The sequence below is a fragment of the Homo sapiens genome, chromosome 13 (genome assembly GCF_000001405.40).
Source record: "Homo sapiens chromosome 13, GRCh38.p14 Primary Assembly".
NCBI lineage: Eukaryota > Metazoa > Chordata > Mammalia > Primates > Hominidae > Homo > Homo sapiens.
In genome coordinates this window covers 87,798,333-87,822,974 of record NC_000013.11, presented here as the reverse complement: position 1 = coordinate 87,822,974, position 24,642 = coordinate 87,798,333, and the positions used below count along the sequence as shown (strand labels likewise).

The 24,642-nt window shown below is 33.4% G+C and overlaps 1 long non-coding RNA gene across 1 annotated transcript, besides 1 other annotated feature; it reads left to right on the top strand.

Annotated features, from left to right (window-relative positions):
• Positions 12,201-12,910: an enhancer, noted in NCBI's record as "H3K4me1 hESC enhancer chr13:88462320-88463029 (GRCh37/hg19 assembly coordinates)". NCBI's record gives its function as "activates a minimal SCP1, AML or CMV promoter by ChIP-STARR-seq in naive H9 embryonic stem cells {active_cell/tissue: H9 hESC(naive)}" and the evidence as "EXISTENCE:reporter gene assay evidence [ECO:0000049][PMID:30033119]".
• On the top strand, positions 12,455-21,932 carry LINC00397 (long intergenic non-protein coding RNA 397). The gene is made up of 4 exons (NR_104059.1): positions 12,455-12,491; positions 19,169-19,201; positions 19,901-19,965; positions 21,696-21,932. It is a non-coding gene; the product is annotated as a long intergenic non-protein coding RNA 397 (long non-coding RNA).
• The last annotated feature ends 2,710 nt before the right edge of the window (positions 21,933-24,642 follow it).

The window sequence follows — 24,642 nt, the reverse complement described above, 5'->3', positions numbered from 1 at the left end:
GATTAAATGCTTAAAATCTGATTTTAACCATTTAAACTGATTAAAATGGAAAAACCCATTTTAAGATTTCTCAAAATAAGGAAAAAAATACTGTAACATTCTATCAAAATTCCATTACTAGGAGATGATTATTTATATTTTGGGGGCAAATTTTATTTACACCCCCATTCACATGCATGAAGAGCTTTGAATTTGCATTCTATATACAAATGTATCTTCTCTATAATATAAAGTTTTCTTGGGTTTTCCTGAAACGAAGTTATAATTAAAGTTTCTATTGACTTTTTGAGGAAGAAACATGTGAAAAGTAACTTCATCTATGAAAAAAAGATGATTTTCTTTCCTCTAGACCCAGGAAAGTTCTTAAGAGCATAAGAGTCTTATGAGCAAGTTTTACATTTCAAGGCCACAAGTTCCAAAACATGATGATAGCCTATTAGGAAAGAGAAAAGTGATATGCAAAGTCACTTGACTCCTGAAAGAGTTATCTTTGAGGCATCTTCTAAAGAAAGAGCAAGCAATTTGGAGGGACATGCAGTACAAGCAACCTCCTTAATTGTGCCCAAACCATTGGTCCTTGTTTTATATACTCAATACGATGCTGCCCACGCAAAAGAAAAATCCTAGTTACACAGGAACAATAAGATCTGGTAGTTGACAGTATAACATTGTGTACATGAGAGCCAAAATGATATTTTTTGTAAGGCAAATATTATCATATAAATTATCTTATTAAAACTCTACCAGTGTTTTGTTTTGCTGTAATGCATAGCAATTATTTCTACCAACACTAGACTAATAGCAAGAGAAGGGGGAGAGATTTTTCACATAAAAGATTGCTGCTGCTCTTAGAATAAAAGAAATAGCTTGTAAACAGAATATTGAGCCTTATGTGGTCTGCCAGGTCTCTCTAGACTCAGGCTACCATGCTGTCCACACTGGCTAAATCCAGTCCTTCCCAACATTGACAGGAAGATCTATAGTTCAGGTTTGGATAACTGAATTTTATATATCTATTTGGCGTCCAAGTAAAGACACCAATAAAACCGGTTTGAATATGTAAGTCAGAGTTTCGAAAGAGAGGTCACTATATGGAGCTAGAATTTGGCAGTAATTGACAGAAAGATAATATTTAAAGCCATGAAACCAAATGAGACCACCAAGGCAGAGAATATAAAAAAAGAGAAGAGGTCCAAGGATCAAGCTCTGTGGTTTTATTATGAAGAGGAGTCGGCAAAGGAAACTGAAAGTGAGTCAGTAGTTGAACCAAGAGAGTGGTGCTCTGTGTATTGAGGGAACAAACTGTATCTAGGAGGAGAGACTCAGAGTGGTAGCTCAGTTCTGCTAAAAAGTCATAAGTAAAATGAGATCTAAGAACAGGTTACAGGATTTAACAATGGATGATGAGGATTCGTGAGTGGCATTGATAAAAAGTGGGATGCTGGAGCAAAAACTGGACCGAAATGTTTTTAAGAAATAATATATTTAAGAAACAATGAGATGGTGAATAGAAACCCATAATTTAAACATTAAACTATCATCAAAAATTAGATTTTGTTGCAATTTATTACTAAGAGCAATAAACAGATAAAACAAAGGGCAATAAATGGATTTGTTTATGTAATTGTCTGATTATTTTCTGAAAATGATAATTTCCAGTGGTGAAATTACTGGGTGAAAAAGTCAAAATATTATTTAAAAAATGATTCTTCTTGCACATTCTTATGGTGCTGAAAAAAAATTGTTGCCTCGCCTTTTTGACTGTTAGATTATTCCTGTTTTCTGTATTATTTGGACAGAACTTACACAATATTCTATTAATAATAGTAAAAAAAGTCATATTTTATACATAAAAAAGTGTCTTCTGTTTTACTATTAGATGTGAAACTAGCTACTAGATTGACCATATTTTTTATTATGAAATCAATAACATGTTCATCATAAACAATGTGACAATTGTAAAAAAAATGGCAAAAAATAAAAGCCCCCATTTACTGAGATGCTTTTATATATCTTGATAAATTGTTGCAGTTTTCATCATAACAATTGTAGATTCCACATAGTTCTTTTGAAGAATATGTTCTCTAAATGTGTGGTGTTTTGTTGTGTAGTGTTTTGTTCATACCTATTTTGTCCTTGGCCTATCTAGTGAGACAGTCATTATTTGATTTTCATTTTATAACTGGCACTTTTCCATATGCTGCCTCACAAAAATCTGTGGGTCAGACACAGGACAAGATTTCAAACAGTTCTTCACACATATCTATTGAAAACTAACTAAATCAGAAGGAAATACCTCCCTCTGTCTTTTGTCATTTGTCAGGATTTCTTCCACCTAATTTTATCAGTAAGTCTTTCTTATTGTTCTATAGAGCATAATAACTTTCTGAGTTTTTTTAAAGAATAGTTTTAATTATCCCTATATTTATTATGAAGTCCTATTATCCAGAGCAAGAATTGGCAAATCATGCATGGCCTGTTCGTCAATTCTGCAGTCCCTTGTTTACAAAAAGTTTGCAGAAAGGGTTTTATTGGAATTCAGCCATGCTTATGCAATTACATATTGTCTGTGGCTGCTTTTGCACAGCAGTAGAACTGCAAAGTTGCAACAGTTTTTATGGTCTGAGAAGCCTAAAATATGTACTATCTGCCACTTTACAGGAAAATAAAATAGTTACAATCCCATCTAGAGCAGTAGTTCTCAAAAATTTTCCCTTTGCTGTCTTAAAAATAATTGAAGATGCCAAAGATCTTTTTTATGAGTTATGCCTACCTATATGTGCTGTATTAGAAATTAAATTTGAGAAATTTAAAAAACAATTATTAATTTATTTAAAATAACACGTTTACCCATGACATGTTAACATAAATTACACTTTCTGAGAATAATAATTATATCTTCCAAAATGAATTGGTGTAGTGATATGAGTGTTTTACATTCTTTGCAAATCTCCTTAATGACTGGCATAATAAAATACAATATTCTCATATCTGCTTCTGTATTTAATTTGTTGTTATTTGATGTTTTGTTTGAAGTAGATAAAGAGAATACAGCCTCACATGGATATGTATTTGGAAAATGAGGAGTATCATAATGGCTTTTCAGCTAACTGGGAATACTAAACAAGTTGTAGTTTCATAAACGTTAGTTGCACTGAAGGCTCTGAGACACTATCAATCAACTTTTCTCAAACTCTGTTATATTCTACTTGCACTTTGAATAGATACTCTACTTATGCACGATTTTGTAATATCTTTACAGCATTTAATTCCAAAAATACACAGTTTTTAAAACCCCCAATCTCATCAGAAAGACTTTATGCATTGAAACACTAGTTAACTCAAAAGAGAGAATATAAGATTTCCATTATTCTAATACTTAAAAGCTCACATTGCGTTATTGCCAGAAATGTGAGGTTTTTTGTTGTTGTTGCTGGGTTTTTGTTTGTTTGTTTTTTGCAACAACTGACTTCACTGATTTTGGGGAAAAAAATGTCTACTTATTACCCAAGTCACAATAAGCATGGTTTAGCTATCAATTATGCTTTCAAGTAAAAATGTTTCTCCACTTATAAATGCAGTTAGTTCAGCCAACAACAGAAACAATTACACAACTGTTTTTTCCTAGAGTCAACCATGTACTTTCATATGCAAGAGAAGTCCTTGCACTTTGTTACACAGGACATTAAAAAGACTCTCAGGAGTTTGTGAACCACCCTATGCGAATTAATAATCTAGTTTCTTATTTATTTTGTTCCTTGTCACTTTCACCATTTACCAGTCCTAAGGATGACTTTGGTATCTTCTAAATTCAGGTAGAAAAAACTCACCATGTATGCTAGATATCACAGACAAATTTCTCGCATTCTTTGTGCACAGGTACCTTGTCTGTCTTGGCCCTACAAGTTCTGACTCCCAGCAATCTGGAAACCTCGTTATAAAATCTATATTTCTTCCAGATATTTTGGTAGATTTCCCTGGCCAATCGTTTGGAAGTAAGAAGAACGGTTAGCTAGTACATAACATTGGAGCAACCCAGACAAACTGCTTGAAGCTTCATTGTCTCCTCAGTAAACTGGAGGTATGATTGTGTTGTGCTTGTCTCACAGAATACTGAGATAACAGTTTAGATTATCTATCTCCACCTCCCCAGTTTTATTTATGCTTAATTGACAAATAAACTATTTATTATTGTTGATCATTTTTGTAGAGACAGGGTCTTTCTATGTTGCCTCAGCCTCCCAAAGTGCTAGGATTACAAGCGTGAGCCACCCCACTCAGCCAATACTGTATTTTTGATCCATGGTTTGTTGAAGCCACAGATATGGAACCTGAGGATATGAAGGGCCAACTGTACTGACTGATCTCACATATAAGTTCCTGATGTCAGTGGGAAAACTTCGCTTTTCTCATCATTAAGTGTGATGTTTGTCGTGGGTTTTGGTAAATACCATTAATCACATTGTGGACCCTCTCTTCCTAGGTAACTGAGAGTTTTTATACTGAATGGATCTTAGATGTTGTCAAATGCTTTTTCTACATTTAATAATACAATCATATGACTATTTTTCTCTAGCTTATTGATATAACTTAATTAGTTAATATTTATTTATATTATTTTAATTGACAAATCATAATTGTATAAATTGATGGGGGACAGTGTTTTTTTGTTTTTTTACAATTTGGCTTTTCATTATTAGAAATAAACATCACCCATTTTAATATATATATATGTGTGTGTATATATATATATATCCTTACAGTCTTCTTGATAAGCTGACAGCAGAGTCAAATGAGGCACAAATGTATATTAATTTCAGAGAAATCCTTACAAACCATAGCCTAAAACTTTTTGTCTTGTCTCATTATTTTATATTTAAATATAAAATTTATTGCAGGTTGATTATTTTTGTCCAAAATGCATGATACTCAAACGTTAGTTAATACAAATAACTTTTATCTATTTTGATATCATGACTTATTAATTGTAGCTTGCAACTTCTATAAGTTGTCTCCAAACCAAGTCTATACCAATTTGCTATTTCGCAAATTTGTTCACAAGCCATACATTTCATTACATAATAAATTTAAAGTAAATTAAACAGCACATTATTAATTAAACAGGAAAAGAAGTCAGAATTATTCAAGTTTGTATTTAAATGAAATCAATAATTGTTCATAATGATTTACCTAAAATAAAGTAATTTAACTTTTCATTTCTTATATACTATAACATTTTTAAATAACTAAAATATCTCCCATGATGGTTTGCAGAAATTTTTCTATGCAAGTCAAAACAAGTGAAACCTTTAAAGAAGCCAGGAAAAAAAATGTGTCAATAATTATTTGTATCCATTTTAAAGGGAATGTTGCCATTCTTGAATGGATGACTGGTAACTGGATAATATGAGGCCTCATCAGTTGCAGAAGGGAGAGTAAAGGCCAATGGGATAGTCCTTTGATTAGAATAAAATGTTATGAAACCATTCTTGCCGTGCCTTTCCCTGTCTACATCGTAAAAGCATCTTTTATAATTTCCTGTTCTAGCTCTCAGTGAAAATCAGTGATCTCTTCAAATAAATGCTAACCTTAAATATGTTACACAAATCCCTATATTACTTATGTTCTCTTTGCTCTTTGAAGATATATATAGATATTTATATTATTTTGAAATGCTAATCATAAATCAGCAGCAGTTACCCATTAATATATGGGCATTATTTGAATCATCTTATTTGGTGTGTTTATTCATGTTCAAGTTCTGACTTTATTATTAATTTATTTTGATTAGAGTAAATACATTTTACATCTACTATTACATCCAAATGCAGCTAACAAAATTCAAAATGATTCAGATCAGCATCATTATTTTCCAAGAATATCGATGTTGCTTGACTATTCCAGCTGTTAATTACTTGATTAATTTAATTATTATTGTAGATTTAGGGAATATATCATGTTTGTTACACAGATACTTAGGGTAATGAAGTTTGGGCTTCTAGTGTACCCATCACCCAAATAGTGAGCATTGTACCCAGTAGATAATTTATAGATATCTATTAATAGATAATAGATAATTTTTCAACCCTCACCCCCTTTCCCAAGGTCTCCTCTTTTGTAGTCCTCAGTATCTATTATTTCCATCTTTCTGTCATGATGTCCATATGTACCCATTGTTTAGCTCCCAACTCTAAGTGAGAACATGTAGTGTTTTATTTTTGGTTTCTGAGTTATTTCACGTAGGATAATAGCCTCTATCTCCATCCATGTTACTGCAAAGGACAGGATTTCATTATTTTTATGGCTGCATTACATTCTATAGTGTACATATATCACAGTTTCTTTATCCAGTCAACCACTGATGGATGGTTAGGTTGATTCCATGATTTTGCTATTGTGAATAGTGCTGTGATAAACACTGCAATGGACGTTTCTCTTTTATATAATGATTCTCTTTCCATTGGGTAGATATTCAGTAGTGGGCTTGCTGGATTGACTGGTACCTCTCTTTTTAGTTCTTTAAGAAATCTCCATACTGTTTTCCATATATTTTATATTAATTTACAATCCCAACAACAGTGTATAAATGTTTCATTTTCTCTGCATCCAGAGTGATGTTTTGATACATGTATACAGTGTAGGATGATTAAATCAAACTAAATATCAACCAGTTATCATTAGTAGGTTTTTCAAGTCAGTTAAATTTAGCATTTGGGGGTTGTTCTTAATTAATTTTTTTAATGTTGAACCAGCTTTGCCTACTGCAGTTTAGAATTCTTTTTATACGTTGTTGGATTCAATTTGCTAAGATTTCATTGACAATTTTTGCACCTATATTCATGGATGATATTGGTCTTTAGTTTTATTTTCTTGTGTCTTTGTCTGGATTTGATTCTAGGGTTATGGTGGTCCTATAAAATGGGTTAGCAAGTATTCCCTCTGCCTCAATTTTCTGCAAGAGGTTATAAAGAATTGGCATAATTTCTTCCCTGATTGTTTGGTAGAATCCATCAGTGAATGCGTCTGGGCCTGGTGCTTTCTATTGTGTAACACTATTAATTATTGATTTAATTTCTGTAATAGATATAGGTCTATTTGGGTTATGTATTTATTTTGTGTGAGTTTTGGAAGGTTGTGCTTTTCCAGGAGTTGGTCAATCCAGGTTATCAAACTTGTGGGCTTAAAGTTGTTCATAATAGTCTTTTATTACACTTCTAATGTCTCTGAGGTTTGAAGTGATATCTATCTTTTATTTCTGACATGAGGAATTTATGTCCTCTCTCTTTTTTTCATAGTTAGCCTGGACAGAGGCTAACTTTAGTGAGCTCAAAAATCCAGCTTTGGGGTTTGTTTTCTCTATTGATTTCCTGGTTTCAGTTTCAGTGATTTCTTCTAAGGCAGATCTACTGGCAATGCATTTTCTCAATATTTGTTTGTCTGAGAAAATCTTTATTTTTCCTTCTCTTTGCAAGGATAACTTTGCAGGGTTGAATTCTAGGTTGGTGAGGTTTTTCCCTTGATATCTTAAATATATCTTTCCACTCTTTTCTTAATGCAAAGTTTTTCAGAGAAGTTGAATAGAATTCTTATTTTTGCTCCTCTTTAGGGAAGGTGTTTCTTTCCTCTGGCTTTTTTCAGAATTTTTTTTTTAAATCTTTTTTTTTTTTTTTGAAAATGATATGTGTAGGTGTGTTTTTATTGACATTTATCCTGTTTTGTGTTCTCTGAGCTTCCTGGGTCTGTGGTTTTGCATTTGACATTAATTTGGAAAAATTCTCAGTCATTATTGTTTCAAGTATTTCTTCTGTTAATTACTTACTTTCTTCTTCTTCTGCTATTTCCTTTAGAGTTAGGTTATACCTTATGTGGTTATCCCACAGTTCTTAGATATTGTAGTCTGTTTTATTCTGTTGTATGTTTCTTGCATTTTTTTCCTGTTCACTTTCAAACTTTTGGATGTTTCTACTGAGGTATCCTCAAGCTCAGAGATTCCTCGTCCATGTGCCATCTACTTACAAGCCTGTCAAAGGCATCTCTATTTCTGTTATAACATTTTTGATCACCAGCCTTTTTGTTGTTGTTCTTTATTATAATGTTCATCTCTTTACTTTTTTTCCTGTTTCTGCAAGCTGTCTACTTTATCCACTAGAGCTCTTTTCTTATAAATTTGTGTGATATATTTGCTGCCTCAGCACCCATTTTTAAGCCTGACATTAATTTTTCTGAAACTCAGTGATAGTTTGTCACCTTTGGATTAGTCAAAACTTCCCATCACTTAGTGGTTGTAGATAATATAGTCCACTTGTTTCTTATCTAACAGATCCAAAACTCAACACACTTCAAAGCTGCTGACCATAATCAAACATAATGGTTAACACCAGAGTCTTGTAAATAAGCCCGTTCCTTGACATGTGTTTATTTAAACTAAGCAATCTACAAATCCCATGGCAAAGCCTGAGGGATGTCCGTAAACCCACATGCCTATAAATAAAGGCATAGACTCACAGGTTCTATTTCTTTCTCACTTCCCACCTGCTGGTTGAACTCCTTGTCGCCTCCAGGATTCCTTTGCCCTTTGGATGGCACTTCTAACCTCTCAGGAATCTGTAAGTTATATATATATATATATATATTTTTTTTTTTTTTTTTTTTTTTTTCTGTTGTAAGCATTTCTGTTTCACTTCCTCATTGTGTCTCACCTCACCAACACATCCAAACCTTACTTTCCTCTGGAAAGTGAATATTTTGCCTTATGAACACTTTCAAGAGTGAGACTTTAAGATCAAATTAGAAAGAAACCATAACAATAACCTCAGCATATTAATCATAACTATTTTACATTGCCAGTCTGATAATTCCAACATCTCGGCCATATATGAGTCTGGTTCTGATGCTTGGTCTATCTCTTCGAACTGTATTTTTTTGTCTTTTAGTATGCCTTGTAATTTTTTTCCCTGATGGCCAGAAATGATGTACTGGGTAAAAATAAGTTTATTAGTAGGTCTTTAGTAATGTGGTGGTAAGGTGTAGGTGGAAGGAATGGGTTCTATAGTCTTTGATTAGGTCTCAGTTTTACAGTGAGCCTGTGCCTCTCAACCGTGAAATTCACATGTGCTTCTTTGGTCCCCTATTATTCCCTTCTTGGAACAGGAGAGTTCAATTGGGTTGAAGGTGGGCTTTCCCTTCCTCCACATGGAAGACTAGAGCTTGATGAAGTTGGGTCTCCCCATTTCTCTAGGTAAGTTAGGCTCTGAGAAAACTCCAGCAGGTTAAGCTCTTGTTAAATAGTTCCTCCTTGTGCAGGCTTTATTAACAGAAAACAGAATGCTCTGGAGTATTTCAAAATGGTTCATTTTTCCCTCTTCCTGATGGGAAGCATTAGGTGATTTTTTTTGAATATTTACTATGAGGACCTGGTAGAATTCTTGGAGGTAAAATTTATGAGTATGTGAACTCAACCCCCATGACTGTTTTACTATGGAATTTTTAGCTTTCAAACTTGTTCTTACTGGACCTCTAGCAATTCATCAATTATAGTTCAGGTTTCTCTACTCTTGCACTGGTTTCCACAGAGGTTTCAGCTGGTGGGTGTCTGCTCAGGTAAATTTTATTTCTCCGTATTTATCTGTCAGTCTCTCCAATTTGGGGGGGGCGGCAGTGGTTTGCCTCCAAACCACTTGTGTCCCTTGTCTTTTGAAAATAAGAAGAGTTGATTTTTCAGTTTCCTCAGCTTTTTACTTGAGATAGAGTGACAATTTGCAAGCTTCTTACATCACAGACCAGAAATCCGAACAAATTACTATTACCATATTCTTCTAAAATTTTAAGATGACCCTCCAAAATATCTCATTATTACTTTAATTTTCTCAAAGATATTTAAGACTTCTTCCCACAAACAAAAATCATGAATCTTGTGACTATGGTCTTAGGTAAGTTGAAATCCTATTTGCTGATACAACCTACTTATCTAAGCCTGTATTAATGATTAAAAATTGTAAGTTAATGAAGACTTCCTGAGGTTCTATAAAGATAAGTTAGGCAGGTTATTTTTCCAAAGAGAAATGACACTCTTCTCCCCATAGACAATCTGTACATTCCAACACATCACATGATCATACTAATAATAAGAAACTGACAAAACTACTGATTTGCTTTCCCTGGTCCATCTTTTTGAGGACTCATGGGAAATAATAGCTCAATAATCACAGACCATTTCCTTTTGCTAAAAACGATCATGATGTTACTGTGTAAAGAGCCTGCCTAATACCAGGGTATTAGCTACTCCTTGGGAGAAAGTAAGAATCTGTGTTAAGCATCTGAGATCAACAGGGAATAATTTAAAGCAACTTTTCTCCTCAAATAACCTACTTTAAGTTCCTAAAAAAGTTTGGGCTTTGGAAAGACAATAGGAGGAATGGAAAAAATCTAGGAGATTTCCAGATATGTATAGTAAACCTTTGAGCTCAGAGGTATCCCATACTCCATCTTTCTTCCAAAAATAAAATAAATAAGAATTTCCTTATTTTTATCTCCACACCATAAAGCAAAGGTGAAAACAGTCTTCATTTTTCATCTTAAAATGTATCAGGAAAAGATCTACATCATTATCTATTTCTAAAGACTTGGAGCAATAATATTTTAGAGTTTGTTACTAATACATATGTGATATTCAGGAAAAATTTATTTTCTGAAGTTCCAGAAATTCAATGCTGATTACCCATACAGAATCAAAGAAAAAGAAAAACAAACAAACAAACAAACAATTAGCTTATGTATGTGCAAATCTGAGTTTAGTTTGACTTCTGGTACAACTCTATCTAGGGAGACAATTAGTATTACCAGGACTCTATTTTCCATCTCTCGGCAAGGACCTCTCTATGACATAGTTATATGAGTGGCCAGAAGCCAAGGATTCCAAAGTTCCTGCTTTTGAAACTCAATCAAAAAGAGACCACATGTCCCCAAAACCTTGGCAAAAATCTAAAATATAAAGAAATATTGCAAGAAGTTCTCTGATATGTTCATCTTAGGCTCTCAGTTCACATCTCATCCATAAACAAATTATAACAGTAAGATATATAGAACACTATGCTTGGCTAAACATAAGTCTGATGCAGAGGGGTGCTAGCAAAGTTTGACAGCCAGCTTTCTGGGGTTGGGAGTGGGAGGTAGACTTTGATTTGTGACATTTTAAAATTTCTGTGATGTAAATACTCCCACCATGACCAATTCCAAACTGCTGATATGAAGTAATGAGTACATAATCAGGAAGAACTGCACAGTGGCTTAAAATTCCCAATTATAGTCAAATGTATAGAAAACTCTGGCTAAACCTAAGTCTAATGCAATATTGTGCTGGTTAAGTTTAGAAATCAGCTATATTGTATCCTTATACAAAATTATCTTATCTACCCAAAAAAGCGTTAATTTGCATTCAATGATTTCATATTTTCACCACTAATTTACTTAGCTTGTCTAATTCCATTATCTTGAATAATCTAAATTAATATTAGACTGAAGTAATGACAGTTGTAATACTGGTAATGTTTCTTACATTAATAAGAATTTTTCTAACGCTTCATCCTGAAGAGTTATGGTGGACTTTATTTTAATTATAAAATTCATAAGGGAGTGCTGGGAAGGGAAGAGCGTGGTCCCTTTAAATGATACAGAAAAGGGAAAGGGAAGTGCTGGGGAGAGGAGGGCGTGGTCTCTGGCTAGGGCTCCAACGGTCAGGAACCTAGGTCAGGACAGGCACACCTGCTTTCCCGCCCAAACTTCGCATTTTCCAAGACCACCCTGGCTCTCCATGCCCCCATTCTGGGCCTATAAAAACCCAAGACCCTTGCAGGCAGATACACAAGTGGCTGGACGTCCTAATGAACAACACATCAGGGGAAGAAGACACAAGCGCTGGTCATCCATAGGAGCACCCCAGCAGAAGGACACGCTGACAGGCACCCGGAAGCCAGTAGGCCGTGGACCAGCGGGAGGAGGCGGAGGTTGGCCTGGGCAGTCAGGGGAGAGCCGGGGCTGCCGAGCACCCCAACTCCAGGGGAAAACCATCTCCCTTCTGGCTGCCCCATGGGCGGAGAGCTACTTCCACTCAATAAAACTTTGCACTCATTCTCCAAGCCTATGGGTGATCCGATTCTTCAGGTACAACAAGGCAAGAACCCAGATACAGAAAGCCCTCTGTTCTTGCCACAACGTAGAGGGCCTAATTGAGCTGGTTAACACGAGCCGCCTATAGATGGCAGACTAAGAGAGTATCCTGTAACATGCCCACTGGGGCTTCAGGAGCTGTAAACATTCACCCCTAGACCCTGCCCTGGGGTAGGAGTCCCACAGCCTGCCCGTCTGTATGCTCCCCTGGAGGTCTGAGCAGCGGGGCACTGAAGAAGCCCGCTATGCCCCCATCGCGAGCCCCGCGAGGGGGAGGAGGGAGCCTTTGCCTTTTCAACTGGAGACATCGACCGGGATCCTGGAAGGTGAGTGTGTATGAATTGCGAAACTGTCTGGTCTTCCTCTCTTCTGAAACTCTGCCACCTCTCTCTCTTTCCTGTGAGTAAGAGACTCTGTTTCCCTTCAGGGAGTTTTAAACTGCCCTAACCGGCCGTCAAAACCCCCAGACTTTAATTATAAAATAAGTAATGAACAATTCTTAATCAGTTATAATAACAATGATAAATTATGTTATTTATATATTAAGTTACAAATATAGGCTACAAACAATGAGTGCATATTTCTGTAAGCAAATATGCTATAGGATTTTAAAATAAATTACCTAATTTAATTATTGGATAAGTTTTATTAACTATTATTATAACTATTCCTTAGGTGAAGGCATAGAGGCTCTGAAAGTTCAAATTATTTGCTCTACTAACCAATATACATTTTCAATTATGAATTGGAAAATGTATGTCTAAGGAACTCAGTACTAAATTTTTTTTCATGTATCAAGTGCATTTTTAGTATATAAGGAGAATATGCATTATATGTTGGCAAGAAGATGTTGGGATAAATCAGGAATTATTTTTTATCGATCCTGGTCTAGATATACTTTATATGTATTGTTACTTTTTTTATCCTGACAATGAAGCCTGTGAATAAGAAAACCATTAACCGTCAGAGAAAAAAGCCATTCACAGGTATATAGTCATCTATTTTAATTAAGCATATTATATTTAATTAAATATAGCTAATAGAATTTTCTAAATTTTACCTTTTGTTTTCAGTTTAGAGACCACCAAGAAAACAATGAAATAAAATTTACAGATTTATGCCAATTATTTGTTAGAAATGCCACATTGGAAATGAAAGCCACAAATATCAGTACTAACATTTATGCATGTCAATATCTAAGAAGCATCTGAACTCTCTTTTTTATATTTTGCTTGAAGTGTCAGAGAATACCTTCAACAAAGTTGATGGAAAAAGTTCTCTCGCGTATTGATTAGACGTACATAAATAGGAATCTCATGATTGGAGAATAGAGGATACTAATGCGTAGGCTATCTCCCATCTTCCCACTCAAGTTAATCACAACTTTTTTCTTTAGTTAACTCCTCCTTTGTATTCAGAAGTGAGTTTAGTCGTCTCCTAAATCTTTTCTCTTGCCTCCTTGATTTGTTCAAATACCTTTATGCCATCATAAGAATATTCACTTCTTCTTCAAAGCTTTTTCTTAGTTATAATATTACATGCATTTTTGTAAGTCTTAATGTTTGTCTCATCTACTACATGGTGAATTTGAGGAGAACAAAGATCATGCGTCTTTTTTGTGGTTGATATTTTAACATACTCTAGCTCCAGGACAGTGTCTGGCACATAGTACATAGGTAATAAGTATCCAGGAAATGAATGACAAGATCTATTTTCTTAAACAGAAAAGTATTTGTGAAATATTACTCTTTCCTTGGCAAATAAAAACCATGAAAACAACATTTTCTATCAATTGGGCAAGGATCTGTGATGGATTGATGGAAGGAGTAAACAAAGGAATAAAAATAATTGAGGCCAAAAATCTATTTACCATAAATTACAAATTCTATACTTTGAACTTCTCTCTTGCTTTTTTTTTTCAAATATGTATAAGTAGCTGCGGGATGAATAAACTTTTTCACTTTTGAATTATCTAGTGATTCTAAACACAAAGGACCCTGGTAGGATTCAGAAAACGTAAGTTGCATTCAGAATTAGTCATTGAACATATGTTATTGTGGTAAGTAGTGAGCAGCAGAATTAGAGTTTTGATTGAAAGTATTTTTTCAAACCTCCTGTAAGACTGTTAAAGCCTTTTTGTTTCTGTGTGGGTCTTAAACTGTAAAACCTACCAGAAATTTTTACTTTTTTAGTTTGCTATGCCTAGGAAATGGTTTAAACAATTTAAAATTTTGGAAAACAACATGTATTTTCAACACATCGATAAGTCACACACACACACACACATAAATATGATTTCTGATTAGCGCTAGGAGATTATAAAGCTGAATTGTTAATCTATTCAGTAAGAGATTTTCACAAAATATATTGAAAAAGAGAAATAATAAATAAAAATTATATACCAATTTGACTGTTAATTTATGCTGAGGTATATAAATGATGCTACAACTTTCACATCTGGGTCACTCTTGTTGAGAAATGCATAAAGGAGGAAACAAAGCATATAGAATACATGCTAGAAGAAAATGCTTTTTCAACAGAAAAGAGGTTTGCTTGTTAAAAGACAATTAAAAAAAAATGGATCAGCAGTTGCCACCTTACACAAGTCAGAAGGATATTTATAGCTGAATATTCAGCCTGTAGCTTTCCATAAAAGTTTTAAATATACATTGAAAATCTGAAGGATCATCTTCGAAATCAACCCTATCCATTAGTAATTTACAATCTATTTACTCTTATTCAATTCTAAGTATGTCTGTGAGATTTTAAAATATATTCAGTGTTTCCCATTATACTTGGAGCTTTAGAGTATTTTTTCACTCTCCATTTGTGTATGTGAGTGGCTATAGGAGTGTTTCCTTGGAAGTTGTAGGTGGGTTTTTAGGACTGTTATCTATGAGCATGCATGGCTATAAACGCATTAATTGAAGGGTATTCATGATAACAGGACAGCTCTGACATTGTTTTTGTCTTGTAGGATTTGCTCTTTATTTGGTGATGTAAAATTTATCGTGGTCGCATTTTGTTAATGTTAAAATATTCTTCAAGAATTCATTTAACTAAGATTGATCAGAATAACTATAACTACAAAGAAATGATATCATGAGGAAAAAATCTTTTTTGAAATACCTAATTATCACTAGTATTAAATAAATAAACCTTCAAATGATTCAGCATGTTATGGCTTCCGAACTTTTTTATATTCTACCTCAGTGCAACTATAAAACAGAGCATATTATACAGTTCATCATGCCTAGATCAGAGGACTGGGGTTATTCAAATGCTATAACTATGAATACTGCCACATTTTGTTTAGTCCAATTTAGCCTTCTATGTCATGGTTACTTCATTTTAAAAATTAAGATGATTTTTAGAAGAAGATGGTTTATGTGATTATAAGTTTTTAATTAATTTTGAAATTATACAAGTCTCTGAGGAGCAGAGCAAAGCTCAGAGAATAAACGATACACTGAATGAACTAGTTAAGTAGTGGAATCTGGAGTATCCCTAAGTCATCTGATTAGTTTTTTGTGAAAATCGGTAGAACTCTGTACGACAATCGAAGGATTAAAGTGTATATATATATATATATATATATATATGTGTGTGTATTTCTTTGTGATCCTTTGATATAAATAATAATAAAGTTATTTCCTAAGTACAAATCATACTAAATCTAATTCACGTCTAGATGCCAGATAAAATAACCAAAATAATAATGTCTAACATTTTTATGATAGTTATAAAATATTTTCTCAAATATATGCTCATATGTAGAAGGTGATTTGAATCATGACTATACATGCAATAAAAGAGTAAATTTTGTTCACATAAATGCTCTGATTAGACCAACGCATTATTGTACTCTGAATTGGCTTTGAAAGCATTAAAATGTGTAATTTATGTAATTCTATGAGCTTTTTTACTTATAACATTTCATTATTTCGAGTATTGATTATACCATGTTCAGTAGTGATCTGTGACAGGGAGGATACAGAAAATAGTACATATAGATAACGATACTTATAACATGAAAACTTAATTTCAGACAAGAGATTCTCAGTCACAAAATTCCCTAAAAAGAAAATGTAATCAATAACAATGTTGGATGATTATAATTCCCATATTCACTAACTAGAGGTTTTATCTGGCGAACTCATCCTCAAATGTTACTAGTTTTGCATGTCCTCACTCATAGTATTGTGATTAAAATTTTCTTTGTTTTCTACCCCTAAATACAGCTAAATTTGGTAGAGAAATTAATAGACAAATACATGCCCCAGGTCCTGACAGAAGCTGTGTAAAAAGATAGAAAAAGAGATTAGTAAGATTCCAAATTTTTGGTAAGTTTTATATCCACATTAAAAACAGAAGAGAACATAATTTAAGTTTTGTTCTATTACCTAGTAATACTGTAATATTATTGGTTAGAGGTTAATCAGCTCCCCTTCTTGCACAGCTAATTAAATTCACACTCCAATCACTTCCCTTACTGGGCTCTCATATACCCGCCACTATGCACCCACCCTCACAGCCCTACTGTTATCCAATAGCATCAATCTGAAGTCACTAGTTTTATTTTTAGAGTATGATCCCCAATAGAGGGAAGTTAAAGTGTGATAACTTTATTTAAATTAAGAAGACATCAACAATTCTACTTATTTTCTGATTTTCCAAGTACCACAGAATAGGGACAGGCTCTATGTCCCAGAACCTGGACAGTTTTTCAAATGAAACATACAAAGGGATCCATCGAAACGTAGCTAACCTTATTTCACTTGCCATATACAGGCTGCTCCTGAGGATTCCAGCTTGCTATTACCCTGTCTCTGGTATAACTCCCTGTGTGACCCTGCCTGGCAGCCTTTTCTCATTTGGAGGCAAAAATAACAAAGAAAAATTGCCTTTCATCTATCTAAGTGTCATTGTGTTGTGTTCACCATCAAAAGAATCTGTAACTCTTATAAAACACAGCCTTCTAAGGAAGGATCAACTTCCTTAGAATGCAAATGTGAAAAATACAATTTACAACTGTAAGAACCATGTATTGGGTATGTGCCGGAGAAAATGAATTTTCCACCTAGAAATAATCCATGTTTTTTAAAAGGAAGTGAAAGAAAAATTGAAAATTAAATTATCGGAAATCTAGAAAGAATGATTTCTGAGGAAAGAAACTAGACTTAACATAGTAAATATTTGCACCTGCAAAATTAAAGAAATACATAACCCCATAAATATAGAATAAAACAAAATTTTACAGAAAAGAATACATTCAACTTGAATTTACATATTAAATCATATTTCTATAGAGTTGAATAACAATATGGTGCGACATTTTCATATTCAGTGAAAGGTAACTTTCTTATGTATTAAAAATTAAAAATTCTCAAAGAAGTGGCAGAAATTGTACAACTTATATAAACTTTTTAGTATATGTGCTGCCAAAGCGAGCACAACTTACTTAAACTTTTTAAACATTTCATATATATCTGTTTGATGTAGTATTCAGTGTGGCCTTGAAAATTCACGAAAAATAAAATAAAAATAAGAAATAGAAAATTTTTAGCATATAGACTTAATAAAACAAAAGAATTACGTTAAGAAATATACATAAAAATTGAAAAGATTCTTTTTAGATGAAAGTTAAAGAACTATTAAATAAGTATCTAAAAATATCAATTTAAAGTCACTATTTTTATTTGAAAAGTATGATCACCTACAGAGAGAAGTCAGAGTGATAACCTTAGCTAAATTTAGAGGGCATCAGCAATACTTCTTAATTTCTGTTTTTAAATTTAAGATGTAAATAATAGTGTATTTTTAAAATATAAAAAACAATCTATAACTATGATAAAACCAAGCTGTGTAATTAGTAAATCTTGCTGAAAACAAATGGTAATAAAATGCATAAGCTGAAGGCATAATATTTAGTAAAGATCAAAACAAATGTAGAAAAATAGATGCAAGAAAAAAGAACAGAAATTATAGCAGATGTAAATATAAACTCTAAAAGAAGGGAAATTATTTAAACATTAAAAGGCAATTCTTTAAAAAGAAAAATTTTAGTTGTTGAAAACTTGCAAAACTACACAGAATCAAAAATAAAGATACAGATGTGGAAGAAGACATTAAACAGTTTGGAGAATAATGTGTATGGGTTTATGAAAATAAAGAAAATCTAGATTAAAAAATTCTAGCAATTGAATGAACATTTTTCTGTTCATTGCTTGCTAGTTTGGGAATAGGAAGAATCGCTTAGCCTTCATTAGTGGCAAAGTTATGCTATTACATCACCCTGTTCTCCATTCCAGACAACTTTTATTCTTACAATTTGCTAATACCCTTAATGTAAGTATTTTGATAAATCTAAATTGTATTTTGAACTCGAATCAATCTAGTTCTTAACAAATCTTTATTGCTAGAATCAATATTCATGGAAGATTCTAAAACGATGCATACTCCTTCCATCTGCTGTCAAATTTTAATTTCATCTTTGTTTTAAGTCAGAGCAATAGAGAACAGAGCTGCTTATTTAGGCTTTTGCAGGTGTGTACTTAGCAAACTCTTGGCATTATGCCATCATCCTATTTGGAGAGACTTTTTAAGGCAAGGAATTCTGAAACTTCATAATATCTTTATTTCAAGCATGCCAAGGAGAATATTTTCCTCTATATAGTAGCATGCCATGTATATGAGAAACCATTTAGACAAAAAAACCTGTGATGTTGAGTAATTCATATGTGTAATTAAGCATGTCAAATACTACCTATGCAACAAAAGTGACATATGCTAAATAAGCCTGCAAAATACTAGTAAAACTATGCCAAACACATTTCCTAAAAGAAAATTGAATTTGACTACAATTTTAAGTGGTGTTATGCTTAATAAAATCTTAATGTCATAAGTTATTATAAGTTCTTTATTTTGTGTTTTTCACTTGGAATTTTATAGGACTGAGTATTTTTATTTTGAATAATAATTCCCTTTCTGCTTTGTCTTCTAGGAATCTGATAACCAAAAGTTCTATTCACCTCAAGTAATGATGATTACTTTTGTAGCTTTCAGTTTGTATTCTAACACTATGACTCTCCTTACATATTTCCTTGCCCTTATTTTTCTACTCCTGTATTTCCTTGTTTAAGTTTGTGTGGTATGCTTTACTGTAAGGCACAGCAGATTTTTCAGCGTGTCAAAATAACAATGAAATGGGCTTAAAACAACAATTAATAGTATAATCTGACCATCAACCAGTTAGAGAAAAAAAGCTATATCCCTCCCAGCCAATTCTAAACTATTTTTGTAGTTTTATCTCCTATTTTTGCAGTTTTATCTCCTACAATACAAAATAGAGTCTAACTGAATTTTTAAATGTCTAAAATGATTTCCTACTATAAAATTCACTGATTTAAGTTTGTTCCCCTCTTCTGCTTTTTTTGAAATATACATGGGAGTCTTTAATGAATAAGGGGTGCTTTAAAAAATCTGTGTACTTTCTATGACATATACTTATATTTTGTATTTCTACGTTAGTTAATGATGCAGATATGGGTATTTTAAAACTCGAAGTCCATGGCCCTCATGGAACTTATTTTCTAAGAAATGAAACAGGTAGTTCAGTTGACCCTTGAACCACTCGGCTTGGAGCTGTGTGGGTTCACTTATAGTCAAAATTTCCTGTGCCTCTGCCACTCCTGAGACAGAAAGAGTAATCCCTCTAATTCCTCCTCTTCCTAAGCCTAATCAACCTGAAGATGACGAGGATGAAAACCTTTCTGATGATCCACTTCCATTTAATGAATAGTAAATATATTTTCTCTTCTTTATGATTTTTAATAACATTTTTCTCTAGCTTACCTTATTATAAGAATATAGTATAACAAATGTATAACACACAAAATATGTGTTGATCAACTGTTTATGTTATCTGTAAGGCTTCCAGTCAACAGTAGGCTACTGTTGTTAAGATTTTTTTTCTTTTTTCTTATTTTTTTTCTCCTTTTTTTTGAGACGGAGTCTCACCCTGTGGCCCAGGCTGGAGTGCAATGGCATGAACTTGGCCCATTACAACCTCCACCTCCTGGGTTCAAGCGATTCTCCTGCCTCAGCCTCCCGAGTAGCTGAGATTACAGGCGCGTGCCACCACACCCAGCTAATTTTTTGTATCTTAATAGTAGAGACAGTATTTTATCATGTTGGCCAGGCTCGTCTCAAACTCCTGACCTCATGACCCTCTGGCCTCGGCCTCCCAAAGTGCTGGGATTACAGGCATGAGCCACTGCACCCGGCCAGTAGTTAAGACTTTAAGGAGTCAAAAGCTATATACTGATTTTTGACTGCGTAAGAGTCAGCACTCCTAACCCCTGAGTTTTTCACGAGTCAACTGTGTAAAATGCAAGGAAGTGTGAGAACGTCTATGTGGGAAGTCTCCTTAGGACTTGGGAACATTAGGGAAGACTTTTGTAAAAAGTGGTATGTGTGCTGAACTGTGAAGGATAAAAAATAAAGAAGACGAAAGAGAGTATTAAAGGCCTAGAGAAGGACATACACTAGCCCAGAGACAGGAAAGAGCAGTGAAAGTTCATGTTTTTTCCTATGGATTCATATTCTAGGAGCAAGAGATAAAACATGGACAGAGAAAATGGGGCCAGCTGAGAACTTGGTAAAACTATGATTAGAAATGTGAACTGTATCTTTTAAAGCACTGAGGCTGTGTCTCTGATTTTACTCCAAGTGTGATATGATTTGAAGTACACTTGAGAAACATTTCTTTAACTACACAGAGGGGCTGCCTTGCAGGAATGCAAGAGGAAAAGTGTAAAACACTTTAGTGGGCTGCTTCAGTCATCTAAGACAAATATACTAATAAGTCATTCATAAAATATCCTCGTAAAAATTAGTTACCATAGCCAATTTATTAGTAGTAATGACTTAGGAATATCAAATCTTGAATCTAAGCTAGCTAAATTTGTCTTAATATTTAGCACAGCTGTGAATTGCATGTAATTTTCTATAATCATGATGGCAATTCTTAGGGGTAATGCCGTAAAACACATATAATCACATATGTATTCTTTTTTTTTTCTTTTATTATTATACTTTAAGTTTTAGGGTACATGTGCACATTGTGCAGGTTAGTTACATATGTATACATGTGCCACGCTGGTGCGCTGCACCCACTAACTGGTCATCTAGCATTAGGTATATCTCCCAATGCTATCCCTCCCCCCTCCCCCCACCCCACAACAGTCCCCAGAGTGTGATGTTCCCCTTCCTGTGTCCATGTGATCTCATTGTTCAGTTCCCACCTATGAGTGAGAATATGCGGTGTTTGGTTTTTTGTTCTTGCGATAGTTTACTGAGAAGAAAAACATTGTTTTCCACTCGAATTATAAATCTTAAAGGCATAGCTTAGAGTAGGTGTTTTTAAAAACTCTTAAGTAATACAGGGATACCATATAGATGGGTTCTTTTGAAATTTACCAAAATTGTCTAAGTGTTCACTTAATGGCATTCGGTTTTCTTCATTGTAGGTTCAAAGTGTTGCAATGTGTACAAAATAAGAGGAGTGTCTGTGCCTTTGAAAGGTGAATGTTTGTAGAATCTCAAAGTTTAGAACAAATATTACCTATGCAACAAAAATGACATCTGCTAAGTAAGCCTACAAAATACTACTAAACAACACCAAACACATTTCTTCATAATAAAATGAAATTTGACTAGAATTGTAAGTGGTGTTTTGCTTAATAAAATCTCAATGTCAGAAGTTATTACAAATTCTGTCTTTTGTGTTTTTCACTTGGAATTATATAGGACATATTTGAGTCACCCTGATATTTTCCTTGAATTGTCTTATTTTTTATCCAAGTACTAAAATAAAAAGAAATAGAGATTTCATATTAAATGTTATTATATGGCTGTTTTTAGATTGGGATAGATGGAATTTATTCATATTAAAAGCAAATCATGTGTAATTATTTTATGTTAGGGAAAATGAGTAAGATCTTTGAAAAATAAAGCTCACAAGGCTTAATTTGCTGCTTCTTTTTACATCCTTTCTGTTTACCAAAGTGTCTTCAATATATGAGTGTTTCTGATGAAAATAGACATATAGATTTAAAATCATTTTTAAAGATCCTAAAATATAGGTTATATAACTTCTAAAATACTGTTTGTGCTTCCTGAAAAAAATTAGATTAATGTACCTTTAACTCTGAGAATACAAATATTAACAGAGCATTTCAGCATACTATATCTGGTCTACATAAGGAGCAAAATGATTTTCACTGACATCCAACTGGTTATTCAACACATACAAATCTGCTGCCTCTAGACTCTGGTAAAGTTTCCGTTCTATAAATGGTCATTAGGGTGTTATGTGAATAAAGGCTTTTTAAAAAATGGTGGCCTGAAATTGTTTTTGTAAATAAAGATTATTTCTCAACAGAGAAATCCACTATAGTTGAAATAGGTACTCTCTCTCTTATTGGTGAAATTTGTCAGGTATTTTAATGTGAAAAGAAAAATAAAATAATAGAATACTAATTTTATTTGTTCATGTAATAGTACCTGCTTTTGGAATCTGGTCAACAAGATAAGAATGCCCTAATCATAAACAATTGTACAGAGAAGCTGATATGCATTTGTAAGATTGCTGCTTCTATTCACTGGCATTTTAAAAATTGTGAGAAAATATTGGTGGTAATATGTTATAATCAAGACTTTGAGCAATTATGTATGTAACTTGAATATCCAAGACAATGTCCCCATAATTTTGTAATAAGTGTGCATGCACAATATCAAACATATAGTTATGCATGTATATGGATATGCATATACTTTTAAATTTTAACTTTGTAAGTTTAACGTTAGTACTAAACCTATCATTTATATGGCTTTTCTACCAGTTGGAAAATGAGCTTCTCAAAGACAGATTGTGTTTTATTTACCTTTATGTTTACTGGACCTACCTTCTCTTTCATATAGCAGTTACTCAATGAGTAATTTTTAGGAAACTGCATATTCACAAAACGGTAATATTTATTTTTTAAATATTTTAGGACACAGATTTAAATGGTTTGGCACCTCAGAGAGGTTAGATAATATCTGAATGAAAGTGTGACACATTTCAAATAAAACTAGAGAAGTGTCTTATGATTTCCTCCTCCCTACTTTGCCATGCTCTTCCTTCTTTCCCTGAAACATTCTTACCAAATAATCTGCCATATCCTGGTCTCTAAGATACTTTAGCAAATGGGAAAAAAGTTTGCAGCACACTACCCTGCTCTTGTTCTTGTTTTGTTTAGTAATTACTAGCCCATTGTATCATGTCTGCATGTTTGTCTCCAAAAATAAAAAAGGCAATTTCTTTGAGTGTTTCACTAAATTTTGCTCCCCAAAATACTGCACTTACTCTAATATTAGATACATGTTAACTGTTCTTCAACTTAATGAATCAATGCATATGCAAGTGAAACCTTGAAAATAATGATAAGCTATTTAAAACTTGCAAAGCTACTATGCATTTACAAATGTACTGCTCCCATTCAATGATAATATATGTATTTGTTGAGAAAATACTGTGCAGGTGTGTTATAATGAAGACTCACAGCCAAATAGTTATGTCGTGAGAGAGTCTGAGGCAATGCCTTCCTTCTCAATGAGACTCTAAGGCAATAAAACTGTGTCCAGTCAAACACAGAGAGGGTCCCAGAACTTTCAAGGCTGAGAGGAATCTAAACGGGCATCTGTCATCTCCTCAAAAGAATTGACAGGGAGCTCAATATAATATTACAGAGCTGCATAAATGTTTTTTAAAATGTGTATGCAACAGGATTGGGTGTTTATTTAAAAATATACTCACTATTAATATTAAATTAAAAATAAAACCTTAATCATTTCAATTAAGAAATACCATGATTTGGAATGTGCTTTATCATGTTGTCAAAATTTAAAACCTAATTTTCTGTAATAATTTATAATTACTTCATCCTTCATTCCATCTGGAAGGTAATCAATATAGAAGCGTATGAACCAGCTGCTGCCCCAGTGATGGGGCAGCTGCCAAGAGTGACCTTGGCTTCTGTCCAGCAGCAGAATCCCCAGAAAACCCCCTAGCTAAAGGAAATTGGTGCAAGTGCAAATACAGCTTTCTTTTACCTAGCATTTTCATTTCTTGGGATCTAACAATCTTTGGCTTTCTTGCCTCACTTTTCGTACCCATGATTTTACAAACAAACAACTGTTTATTAAGTTTTAAATGTATATGGCACTAATACATGTAATTACTTCGAGGTTGTAGATATAATGATTTATGCAAACCCCTTTTCTTGGCCGTCAAAGGCATGCCTAAGAATATAAAAACTGTAATATAAATACAAAACAGAAAGGAAAACAAAACTGCATCTATCAGGGAAAATCCAGTCATATAAGGCATATTGATCATAGGTGGAAATAATAAAGAAAGTGAAATCTAATAAT